This window comes from Homo sapiens, chromosome 1, assembly GCF_000001405.40.
Source record: "Homo sapiens chromosome 1, GRCh38.p14 Primary Assembly".
Lineage (NCBI taxonomy): Eukaryota > Metazoa > Chordata > Mammalia > Primates > Hominidae > Homo > Homo sapiens.
Window position 1 is genome coordinate 17,715,398 of NC_000001.11, and position 12,649 is coordinate 17,728,046.

General features: G+C 51.0%; 1 long non-coding RNA gene across 5 annotated transcripts; it reads left to right on the forward strand.

Moving 5' to 3' along the window:
* The first annotated feature begins 1,798 nt into the window (after positions 1 to 1,798).
* Positions 1,799 to 6,950, forward strand: LINC02810 (long intergenic non-protein coding RNA 2810). Of its 5 annotated transcripts, XR_007065511.1 has the most exons (4): positions 2,738 to 3,053; positions 3,163 to 3,394; positions 6,283 to 6,371; positions 6,646 to 6,950. It is a non-coding gene; the product is annotated as a long intergenic non-protein coding RNA 2810 (long non-coding RNA). The 5 variants fall into 5 exon arrangements; XR_007065510.1 differs by lacking the exon at positions 2,738 to 3,053 and adding an exon at positions 2,176 to 2,375 and having other exon boundaries at positions 6,283 to 6,950; XR_002958658.2 differs by having other exon boundaries at positions 6,283 to 6,950.
* Positions 6,951 to 12,649: the final 5,699 nt, after the last annotated feature.

A 12,649-nucleotide genomic window follows, 5' to 3' on the forward strand; every position in this document is an offset into this window, starting at 1 on the left:
GGATTTGGCCCAGGCCTATCAGACACCTCTGTCCCCCTTTGCTGCCTCTTTCATCTCACAAATTGGGGTAACTTTCAACAGGCACCCCAGAGTTGGAAGGGACTGTCCTCCCTGCCTGCAGAATCTGCTGTGGTATCTCTTGAATGAGGCCATGCAGCCCCCACCTGGCTCCACGTTCATTCTTGTCCTGATCCTCAAGCACTCAGGGCCTCGCCTCTCTGCCCAAGCCCCTTCCTCACCATGCCAGCTACTTCCATCCCCACTTGACTGGGTGCTTCTCTTCCTCACTCAGCCAGACTCTTGCAGCTGGCACCCCTGAGTCCCCCACTCTTTGCCTTCACCCCTTCTCCCAGCCTGCTGGATCAGCTTATGTTGCGGTAGAGCCGTCCCTGGTCACAGGAAGGAGGGAATAATGACAGCAAAAACAATAGCTCTGTGGCAGGCTGAGCATACACCGTGCCCTGCCTCACTGAATTCTCCCAGGTGAGTACTGTCATTATTTCCATTTGACAGTGCAGGGAATGAGGCTCAGGGAAGGGAAGTGTCTTGCCCAGGGGCACACAGATAGTAAATGGCAGAGGTGGGAATGGAACCCCGGACCGTGGCTCCAGAGTCCACATGCATAACCAGTGATGATGTGGGGAGTCTGGAAGCTGGGCTTCTCCCAGGAGAACTCCCAACTCAGCGATGCTCCGTAAGATGGGCCCAGGTCAGACACAGTGGCTCATGCCTATAATCCCAGCACTTTGGGAGGCAGGAGGCAGAGGCAGAGGCAAGAGGATCACTGGAGCCCAGGAGTTCGAGACCAGCCTGGTGAACATATTGAGACCCTGTCTCTAGAAATAATTTAAAAAATTAGCTGGGCATGGTGGCATGTGCCTTTAGTCCCAGCTCCTCAGGAGGCTGAGGTGGGAGGATTGCTTGAGCCCAGGAAGTTTGAGGCTGCAGCGAGCTATGATTATGCCACTGCACTATGACCTGGGTGACTGAATGAGATCCTGACACTAGAGAAAAAAAAAGAAAAAGAAAAGATGGGCCTGATCTGTAAACAGCTGCCTGATTTGCAGTGAAGGGAGGCAGGGAAGAAGGCTGGAGTGGCCTGCTGATGGAACAGCCTGCTGATAGAGTAGCTGGCCGCTGCTCAGCAGCAAAGAACTCTGTGGCCAACGCCTCCTTCCTGAGGACTCAGGAGGCCAGAAGTCCCACAAATGTTACTGGAGTCTCATTTCACTGTGATTCTCCCATCTGAAGTAGGCTTCCCTCCCAATCCCATCTTTCTCTCTTCCTTCCCTTCCTTCCTTCCTTCCCTTCCCTTCCCTTCCCCTTCCTTCCTTCCTTCCTTCCTTCCTTCCTTCCTTCCTTCCTTCCTTCCTTCCTTCTTTCTTTCTTTCTTTCTTTCTTTCTTTCTTTCTTTCTTTCTTTCTTTCTTTCTTTCTTTCATCTTGCTCTGTTGCCCAGGATGGAGTGCAGTGGTGCAATTTTGGCTCTCTGCAACCTCCACCTCCCGGGTTCAAGCGATTCTCCTGACTCAGACTCCCGAATAGCTGGAATTACATGCGTGTGCTACCACGTCCGGCTAATTTTTGTATTTTTAGTAGAGACAGCATTTTGCCATATTGCCCAGGCTGGTCTCGAACTCCTGGCCTCAAGTGATCTGACCGCCTCGGCCTCCCAAAGTGCTGAGATTACAGGCATGAGCCACCATGCCTGGCCTCAATCTCATTTTTCTATCACTGATCAGTATTAAAATTATCATGACTCTCTTGGTTTACTTTTTTTTTTTACTTGCGTGTTTTTTTTTCCCTTCCTCTAGAATGTAAGCTCCAGGAGGGCAAGGACTTCATCTTGTTCACTTGAAGCTGAAGCCCCAGCATGTACAATCCCGTGCTGAGTTGCTGGTTCATCCCCAGCATGTACAATCCCGTGCTGAGTTGCTGGTTCATCCCCAACATGTACAATTCCGTGCTGGGTCGCTGGTTCACCAGCAGAGAGGAGCATTGATTCTCTTTGGAAAAGATAATCTATCTACACCCCTGGAACTGTGGCACAGTCTCACGGAGGGCCTGCTTCCATTCGGGTCAACGGCGAAAAAACGAATAAACGTGAGCCGCCATCAGGTAGGGCGAGATGCCCCTTCTTTCTGTCCCAGCCTTAGTGCTGCCATGGCTGCCTCCTGCTCCTCCACGCAAGCCCCACCTCTGTCTGTGATGTCAGCGTGGCTGCCCATGGGATCCCAGCCTGGTTTGCCTTTAAATTTTACAACCTTGTTTATGCAGCTCGAGGCCCATGCACTAAAGACCACACGCTCCATTGAACATTTATGGCTGCAAATGGCTCCTCCGTGCAGGCAAGGGAGGGGGCTGCGCATGCTTAGGGTGAGGCGGCTGGAACGGGGAGGCCACCAGCTCTCAGCCTCCACTTCTTCCTCTTAGGATTCCTCCCTTGGCTGAGGCTGACTCCCTCAGTCTTATTCCTGATGACATTGCTCTGTTCACACTGTCCAAGTCCATATCTGGGCACTGCTAGGCATGAGATAGAAGTGAACAGATGTTAGTCACTGTCTTAGGTGGCTGCAACGGGGCATAAAGATTTGGGTACAATCGGTGCTCCCAGGAGAAAGAGCAAGGGAGTAGGGAAAGTGGGGGAGGTGCTGGGGAGGTGGGAGCAGCCAAGCCAGGGTGTGATTTCCAGAAAAGCCCCAGAGAGAGTGGCCTCAGCCTCATACCATAGGGCACTCTGGAGTTGGTCCTGACTCGGGGGCCTGTCAGTCATCGGCCAAGGGCCAGGCTTTGGGGTGTCGACTCCCACACAGCTCAGCTCCCTGAAGATGTGGGCACGGTGGTGGTGGGGGCTGCTGAAGAGTTGCAGATGCAGCCACTGGAGGGGAGGCTGAGGTCAGTAGCCAGGCTCACAGGGACGACAATGGGATGGGAAGCAACACCTGACGGGCTCAGCTACAGGTGCTGACGGATTCACAGGCAGGTGGCAGAAGGCAGTCAAATAAATGAGACAATACAGCGCCCTCCCTGCGACCACACACACCGCTCACGCCTGTGAGTGTTCGGAATGCATTGGGTCTCATTCTGCGTGTTGTACGTGTCCCGTGACGCCTCATGAGGATGCTCTCTGGCAGGCACTGGTATTGTTATTCTTATTTTACAGGTGAGGACATGGAAGCACAGGGAGGTTATGCCACTCGCCCAAAGACAACTAATCAGTGACAGCTGAGACTTGGACTGCAGAACCTACACTTTATAACTATTTTACAGTTCTGGGCGTCACGGAATCTTGCATGAAGAGCCCCTAACCTGGCCCGGGTGGAGGTCAGGGAGGTCTTCCTGGAAGAGGGGGTTCTTGGCAGCAACTTGCTGGATTTGGTGTTCCCTGTTGGTTGGTCAGTCGCTAGACAGTTATTCACTGAGCTCTGAGAACAGGCTGGGCCCTGCTCCAGGCCTTGGTTGGACAGCAGGGAACAAGGCTGGGGGAAATGACTCCCGAGAAAATGGACATGTGTGACCCTGGGTTCTGGGAAGGCAGGGAGGGAAGACAAGTACCAGAGGCACAGCGAGGGTCTCTCTGGAGCCACAGGGAGAGGGGAGGGATGCACAGGCCTGGTGTGCTGCAGGGCCTGAGCCTGTGGCTGCTTCTGGCCAGGAAAGAAGCCAACGTTACTTAAAGAAGTTATTCATGTAACCAAATACCACCTGTTCCCCAAAACCCTATGGAAATAAAAAATTAAAAAAAATAAAAAAGAGTAAGCAACAACAAAATAAATAAATAAATAAATTTAAAAAATAATAAAAAAAGAAACCCACATTACCAAGTGTTTGCGAAGTGCCAGGAGCCACCCTAAAAACAGTCCTGTGGGGTGCAGCCATTGTCATCTGCAGTTTCAGATGAGGAGGCGGGGTTGCAGAGGTGAAGGTGCTGCTGGTGGTGTGGCTGGTTGGTGGCTGAGCCGGGGGCTGGATATGTTGCTGGGAGGAACAGAGGAGACCCTGGGGGATCGATAGTTGTGGGGAGAGAGGAAGGCTGAGGAGGGGAAGGGACGTCAAGTTAAATTGCTTTTAGAGGTGCTGGGTGTCTGCAGAGATGGTTCCCCCATCATCGCAAGGTGCTTGTAAATTGTCGCCTCTGCCTCCGATAGCCTCCTCGGAGGAGAGAGAGTGTCTGGCTTCCTCACCTTGGTGTTTCTGCATCCTGAGAAACTCGCCGCCTGGAAGCTCCAGACCCTCCCCACCTTGTCAGACACAGGCTTTGCTGGGAAGGGCCTCCAGCCTCGGGCTTTGCAGCAGAAGCTCAGAGCTGCCTGGGGGGACCAGAAGGTGGGAACAGACCTGGGATCTAACTTCTACAGAGCCTCCTGCTGGCTGGGGAACAGGAACATATCATGCGCCTCTATAAGCCTCAGTTTCCTCATCCGTCCAATGGCTATGCTAAGCCTCTCAGGCCTGCCCTGGCCTTGCAGAGAGGGTAGGAGACCAGGATTTCCCATCTCAGGCCTCAGAGACAAATGTGGGTGCCAAACACTGCCTGACTCAGTGTAGGCAGCCCTGGTCCCCATTGGGCAGGGCCTTTGAGGGAGGGCGGGCAGAGGGGTGCCCAGCTGCCTATGTCCTCTGAGAAGGAGGCTCCTGGTGCCGGGAAAGAGTGTGGACTCTAAGTCTAATTGGCTTTCTCTGCCCAGCTGTGGGGCCTTGGGTGAGCCACACAATTCTCGGAGACCCAGTTTCTGCAGTGGTTTTGCTGAGTCACCAGGAAGCCTGTTTTCTGGTGTCCGAGGTGAGGGAATCCCCCTCAGTATCTCTTTTTGGATCAATTTCTGGAATATTCTAGGTCTTTCTAGGCCCTTAGCCACTGCCCCCGCTGTGTGCTCACAGCCTGTGTGGGAGTTGGGAGGGGGCTCCTACTGGACCTAAAGGAACTGCCTTGAGGGGAGGATGTGAAGTCAGGGGCAGAGGCTCCTCACCCTCCTGTCCAGCTTCCCAGGAGCCAGAGGCCGGAACCCCAGACTGAGAGGCCTCGACTCCTCAGCCTTTTCTCCCCCACCTGCCTAGGCCTCCTCCTCACCAATCCTCTTGGCCATTTACTCTTCATCAGCTCCACCATTTCTTTCTCTCAAGCTGCAGCAACCAGAACTGAGGTCTAACTGTATATCAATCACGCCAACAATAACCATAATGAAGTCGATGTTTGCTCCTGAACCCTTAGTCCTGTCTGCTCGGGGGGTTGCCTTTGTCACTTCTCCCATTGGGTGAATCACCAGCTCACCGATGCCCCTCACCATCTTGAATGCCAGCTCAGGCCTGTGTAGAGAGCCTGGACCCTGGTGTCAGACAGACTTGGGCTCTGACGCGGGTCCTGGCACCTGCCACGGTGACCCTGGGGCCTTTGACCTCCCCATACCAGGCCTTAGTTTCTTCATTGGTCAAAACTGGAGCATGGTGATGGCCTCCTGCTGGGTGTTATGCTTCTTAGACGCAGCAGGGCTTATGATTCATGCATCTAGGAGAGTGTGGGGCACTTGGCCCATCTGCCCACTGCAGAGCTAAGCCATGTGTCCTCACTCCTGTCCTTAGAGAACTTGCTCCTGGGTTCAAGGAGGCAAAACACAAAACACAGTTGACCATTAAGTGATAATTCAGATCGGTGTGGTAGACACAGAAGGCAACTCAAACCCTCCCCTACCCCCAAGGAGCTCATAGCCAAGCATGGGAGATAGGAAACAACATCTTTAATAAAATTACGGTCACAACATCTTTAATAATTACTAAATATTGAGTATTTATTACGGGCTAGGAAATGTAAAGAGCTTTACATGGATTTTATTTTAATTCTTACAAACGATGAGAAGACAGATGTTATTATCCTTAATTACAGCTAGGCAAACTGAGCCTCAGAGAGGTAAAGTCCCTTGCCCAGGTTCACACAGCAGAGCACAGAGCAGATGGAACTGAGCTTTGAACCCAGATCTGCCTGATATGGAGGCCCATGCTCTTAGTTTGCCTGCTCTATCCCTCTGTGCACAAGTCTGTGATCTTCCAAATGACATTTCTGTGCCAAACCGGGCCCTGTTTTCTGCATTAATACCCATCCCGATTACTGCAGTTTTAGTTGCAAATGTCAGAAAATCCAATTCAAAGGACTTAAATAATAAAGAGAATTCACTGGCTTACATAACTGAAAAACAGGTAGTGTCTGCTTCAGGCAAGGATTGATCCAGCTGCAATGCATTGATTGGTATGAATAGGACCAGTGAGTTTTCTTTTTCTCCATTTCTAGGCTCTGCTTCCTCAGTGTCAGCATCATTCACAGCAGGCATGTCCCTCCTGCCTCCAAGAGAGTCACCAGCAGCTTCCTCCTCCACATCTGTGAGTAAATGAGAGGGTCTATTCCACCCAATAACTCAAATCCCAGTTTCAGGATTTGACCTGTGGTTGGTCAGACTAGGGACACAAGCCCATTCCTGAGCCAATCACTGTGGCTGAAGAGGTGGGAGACACTGATTGGTCTAAGCCAGTCAAGCACTCTCAAGGCCAAAGTGCATGGGCAAGAAATTTAGGACAAGGGGAGGAAGAAAGAAAAGAAAAGAGAATATCAAGGAGGCAAATGACAAATAAATACCCACTCCTTTCTTCCCACGAGAGAGATATTATTCCCCCCATTTCATGGAGGAGGAAACTGACGATCAGAGCAGCCAGGAAACAGGATGGCGTTGTCTGCTGAGGGACGGTGTGTTCCCTGGAGAGGAGATCCAGCTTGCCATTGTGGGTTTCTTACAGCAAAAATCCTGTGTGTACACATATGCTGAACAAGGCGCACACAGTCTTCATACTTCTTTCCCCAAATCCACTGTTGTACCTCACTCTGGAAACCAAAGAATACAAATGGAGATGAGGCTAATTTTTGCCCCTCAAATTGGCAAAGGTGAATAAAACCATGTTTCTTGGGCTGTGTGTGATGGCTCACGCCTGTAATTCCAGCACTTTGGGAGGCTGAGGTGGGTGGATTACCTGAGGTTGGGAGTTCGAGACCAGCCTGACCAACATGGAGAAACCTTGTCTCTACTAATAATACAAAAATTAGCCTGGCATGGTGGCGCATGCCTGTAATCCCAGATACTCGGGAGGCTGAGGTACGAGAATCGCTTGAACCCTGGAGGCGGAGGTTGCAGTGAGCCGTGATCATGCCATTGCACTCCAGCCTGGGCAACAAGAGTGAAACTCCATCTCAAAAACAAACAAACAAAGCAAACAAACAAACAACAAACCATGTTTCTTGATGCTGGGGAGTGTGGAGTGATGCAGGTTGTTTATTCCTGCCTGATAACATAGAAATTAATATGAGCTTTCTGGAAGTGAGAGCTTCTACATTGTTTTAAGAGTCTTGAGCATTTTGTACCCTTTGACTTCCAGAAATTTTATTTCCAGGAATTCATGTTCAGATAATGGGAGAGATGGACATTGAATGATATATAAAGCCATCCACGGCTGTGTTACTCATAGCGGGGAAAACCTGGCACCACCGTGATCTTGATTTTTTATGCTTACATGTCATTAGTATCCATCTCAGTCTGCCAACTGCCATGTGTAAGAAAAATGCAACCCTCTTTATTGTTCTAGAACTGAGTTTAATTTTTATTTCAAGACTCTGAGATGACCAAGTGGCAAAAACCTAGTCTCTGTCAGCTCAGGGACCCCCACCACATTTCCCCCTTTGGACTGCATCTTGCACTGGCACCTATGAGGTTCTTGGTGTGGTGTGGTTGTCAGTCTTTGATCTGTTTGGCCACCGCCTGTGCCTCTCCATTCCTGATCCTACAGGCTCTTCTGGTCCCACGGTTCTCTGTGTATAGAAAACATTCTCTGTCTGGGTTGTGAGAATGCGGCAGGCAGTCAGGCCCTCTGCGTGGACCCCACAGGTGGTCAGGCAGTCTTTTCTTCTGCTCTCATGCTGTGCTGACGCAGGGACTTTGGGGTCTCCTTGCTTCCTTTGGGATTGGCAGCATAGACTCCCTCTGTCTCAGATCCCCACGCTTTCATGGAGGTCTGGGGATTCCTTAGCTGGCTTGTGGTAATAACCATTGCTTTTAAACGAACCTCCTGATTTCTTCCACATCTTCTGCCTGTGTCAGAAGCTAGGCAGTTAGCACAGAATGCCCCAGCTTTCTGAACTTTTTGGGGGTGGGGTGGTACACGAAGAAGACTCTGGAGGAACCTTGGTTAGAACCCCAAATAAGAACAGCTAGTATTTATTGAGCATTTGCTAGGTGCCAGACCCTATTCTAACTGATTTACGTGGATTTGCTCAGTTATTTGTTGTGAAACCTTCTTTGATAGTGGAAGAAACTAAAGCACAGACAGGGGAATCACTCATCCAAGGCCACACAGTTGGGAACGGTAGGACGGGGCTTTGAACCTAGGCAGTCCAGTTCCACACTTTCTGCTCCCAATCATTCTCTCCCGTGGCCAGCAGGGGCCTTGAGGGGTGTTGGTGCTGAGAGCGGGGCTGGAGAGGTTTGGGGGCTCAGAGCTGGTCTGGAGGAGGAAAGAAGTTCAGGGTCAGCCCCCTTTCCTGCTCCCTGCTGCTGTGAACTGCCTGCGCCTGGAAAGGGCTGAGCCACTCTGAGAAGTTCATGGGCCAATGTTCTGCTGCAGCAACTAAATCTCCAGCCCACTGGCCTTGACCTTGGCTCTGCCTGTGGAGTTGCTGAATGATCCACCTTGAGGCTTCTTGCAGCAGATGCATTTTGCATGGGGGCCTTGGAGGCTAGCTAGCTCCTTCCATGGTGGGGCTGGGAAATCCAGCCTCCTTCCACCCCTACATCCAGCCCCACTCCTGTCTGAGGTGCGGGGTGGAATCCTGAGCACCTACTGTTGTGTTCTCTCTCTATATGCCATCTCATCGGATCTTCCCACCAGCCCTATGTGATGATTCACCTTAAATAGTTGAGAAAACAGCCTCAGAGAGGTGAAGACACTTACCCCCGTCACACAGCCAGTGAGAGGGGCAGCGTGGGGTTGAACCTCCCCGACTCATGCTCATCTCACTCCATTAGGGGGCGTGAATAGGAGGTGTGGTCCCTGCTCTTAGACTTCTAGCACTGACAGGGTCCTTTGGGGAATGAGGCCAGAGTTTGGGTTATGAGGTTCGAGGTGAAGAGGCGACAAGGGCTTAGCTCTTTGCTAATGAATCCAGGAAAGCTTTCTGTAGGGATTCTTTTTAAAGGACCTGTTTGAGGCTGGGCAAGGTGGCTCACACCTGTAATCCCAGCACTTTGGGAGGCTGAGGTGGGTGGATCACCTGAGGCCAGGAGTTCGAGACCAGCCTGGCCAACATGGCGAAACCCTGTCTCTACTAAAAATACAAAAATTGGCTGGGCCTGGTAGTGGATGCCTGTAATCTAACTACTCAGGAGGCTGAGGCAGGAGAATTGCTTGAACCCAGGAGGTGGAGGTTGCAGTGAGCTGAGATCGTGCCATTGCACTTCAGCCTGGCCAACAAGAGCAAAACTCTTTCTCAAAAAAAAAAAAAAAAAAAAAAAAAGGACCAGTTTGAGTGAGAAGGGAAAGTCTGCCATCGTGTTCCGAAGATAAACTTTGGAGTCGCACAGACCTGGGTTTGAATCCCAGCTCTACCCGTTTCCAGGTTTGTGGTTTTGAAGAAGTTCCTTATCTTCTCTGGTTTTGGGCTTTGTATCTGAGCAACAGGTATAATAATGCCTCCTCTGACCCTAGAGAAGTAACAGTATACAATGTCCACATACAGACTTAGCTGAATTCTTTGAGCTCTCACTATCTACTAGGCCCCAACCTAACTCTTCCCACCTCTAACTTCATTTGCTCCTCATCACACCCCATGGGGTGGATACTCAGAGTTGAGTCACCTGCCTGAGGTCATGCAGCGTGGAGGTGGCAGAGCTGGGGTTCCGTGGCCTGCCTGAGCTCCTCTTGCCCTTCTCTTTCTCAGTCCCGCTTGTGCTTGGCTATGGCTGCAGTAGTTCTGATCCTGCGAAGAGCTTCAAGGTGAAGCCGGATTCAGGATTTCCCAGGGATTCTCTAGCAGCCTCCATTATTCCCCGGGGAGTGCGGGCAGCTGGGGACTCAGGGTGTGGCTCCTCTTGACTCTCTCCCTGAGGCATAAATAACCCTTTGTCTCAAAACCCACCTTTTGTTTTTGAGACAGAGTCTCATTCTATTGCCCAGGCTGGAGTGCAGAGATGCAATCTCAGCTCACTGCAGCCTCCGCCTCCTGGGATCAAGAAATTCTCCTACCTCAGCCTCCCAAGTAGCTGGGACTACAAGCCTGTGCCACCACGCCTGGCTAATTTTTTTATTTTTAGTAGAGATGGCGTTTCACCATGTTGGCCAGGCTGGTTTTGATCTCCTGGCCTCAAACGATCCACCCACCTCAGCCTCCCGAAGTGCTGGGATTACAGGCGTAAGCCACCATGCCTGGCCCCTCAAAGTTTTTTTAATCCCTCAAGCTTATAGAATCTTCCCTGCTGGGGCAATGATACTCTCCTGGAGCTTGCCAGGGAGCTGGGCTTCAGGAGTCATTCAGCTGGTGCTCCCGGCCCACTCTCCACCTGCAGATGGTGCTCCCAGCCCCCTCTCCACCTGGTGGCTGGTGGTGTGGCCTGACCCTGAGATGGCCAGTTGGTGGCTGTTGGTGGGCCCTGGGGTATCCCCAGAAGAATCCCTGTAAACCTGCCTGGCAGGCAGCACCAAAGGCACATCACCCTAGAGAATCGTTTCCTGGAGCGTATCTCTCTCATTTTGGGGTCCCCCTCCCAAAGGCAGACCCCAAGACAGTGCTTGTTACAGGTAGTTTATGTAGGGCTTGATTCTGGGAACCAGGGGAAGAGAAGAGAGGATTCAAGTGCTACAAGTTAGACTTTGGTGTGGGGGACAGTGCTCCCTCTTGCTGGAACATTCTGAGAAGCCTTAGGAAATGCATCTCTGAACTGTCCACCAGGGGAGATGGAACGTTTACCCACCAGTCTGTGTCCCTGCCAGTAGAGGTGGCCCCACAGGTGTTAACTCCCCTGTGTCCGGACTGTGCATCTGTGAATCCCTCTGCTGCTTCAGAGAAGGAGTTCCAAGCACTGTGAGGTGACCCTTGCAAGATGTTGCTGGAGGTCTGTGTAGAATTGGTCCCTGCAGCAGTGGCTGGAGAAGGCATGGCAGGGGCAGTGAGAGGATTTGCAGAGGGGTAGAATCCGCCAGTGTCCCCGGCTTTTTTGCTGTGTGCTGACCAAAAATCAGAGTGCCTTGACCCACGGCCTGTGACCAGGCCAGCTTCAATTTTTTTCACAGCACGTTTGAACCCAAACTAGGACCTTGAACATTCCTAGGCACTGCAAAAGATATCTAGGGTTACTAGAAAGAAATTGGCCCAGCCCTTTAGCCAAACTCCTTAAGCCCTCATGTAAATTCCATACCTCACCCCCTCGCTGCTGACATAACCTCAGTAGATGCCCCTTTTCTCTCACGGTCCCTCAGAGGATTGTCATAGCACTCTGTAAGTTCCCTAATGAGTACTTTGCACGGACTACCCTGGCGTTTAGGGCTTCTTTCTTTGGAATCTCTGCCCTGTCCTAGTACAGCTTGGGGCACTCCTTTGCGCGAACTCCCCTGCCATTGTTTTTTGGGGTGATTCCAGCTATGGATTTGCAGGGACGAAACAATAGGCGTGAAGGAGGGTGCACACCTGCATCTCTGCCTCGCTGGGTCACTCAGTCCCCAACCCCTGGCCTGGGAGTGCTGAGGGGTACCCTGCAGTAATAGTCCCTCTCGGTCCCTAGACTCCAAGACCACAGCTGGACTTCCATGCTTTTGTGTCTTCCATGTTTTTTGGAGATGGAGTCTCGCTCTGTCACCCAGGTTGGAGTGCAGTGGCACGATCTTGGCTCACTGCAACCTCCACCTCCTGGGTTCAAGTGATTCTCATGCCTCAGCCTCCTGAGTAGCTGGGATTACAGGTATGTACCAACAGGCCTGGTTAATTTTTGTATTTTTAGTACAGTTGGGGTTTTGCTATGTTGGCCAGGCTGGTCTTGAACTCCTGAACTCAAGTCATCCACCCACCTCAGCCTCCCAAAATGCTGGGATTATAGGCATAAGTTACCATGCCTGGCCATTTTTGTGTCTTTCTTGATGAGCAACTGCTCTGTTCCAGCCCTGTGCTGGGCATATTCACATCTTTTTCTTCTCTCTCTCTCTTTTCTTTCTTTCTTTCTTTCTTTTCTTTCTTTCTTTCTTTCCTTTCTTTCTTTCTTTCTTTCTTTCTTTCTTTCTTTCTTTTTCTTTTTCTTTCCTTCCTTCCTTCTTCCTTTCTTTCTTTCTTTCTTTCTTTTTCTTTCCTTCCTTCCTTCTTCCTTCCTTGCTTGCTTCCTTCCTTCTTTCCCTCCCTCCCTCCCTCCCTCCTTACTTCCCTCCCTCCCTCTCTCTTTCTCTTTCCTTCTTTTTCTTTCGACTGTGTCTTGTTCTGTTACCCAGTGTATTAGTCTGTTGTCACACTGCTGATAAAGACATACTTGAAACTGGGAAGAAAAAGAGGTCTAATTGGACTTACAGTTCCACGTGGCTGGGGAGGCCTCAGAATCATGGCAGGAGGTGAAAGGCACTTCTTACATGGTGGTGGCAAA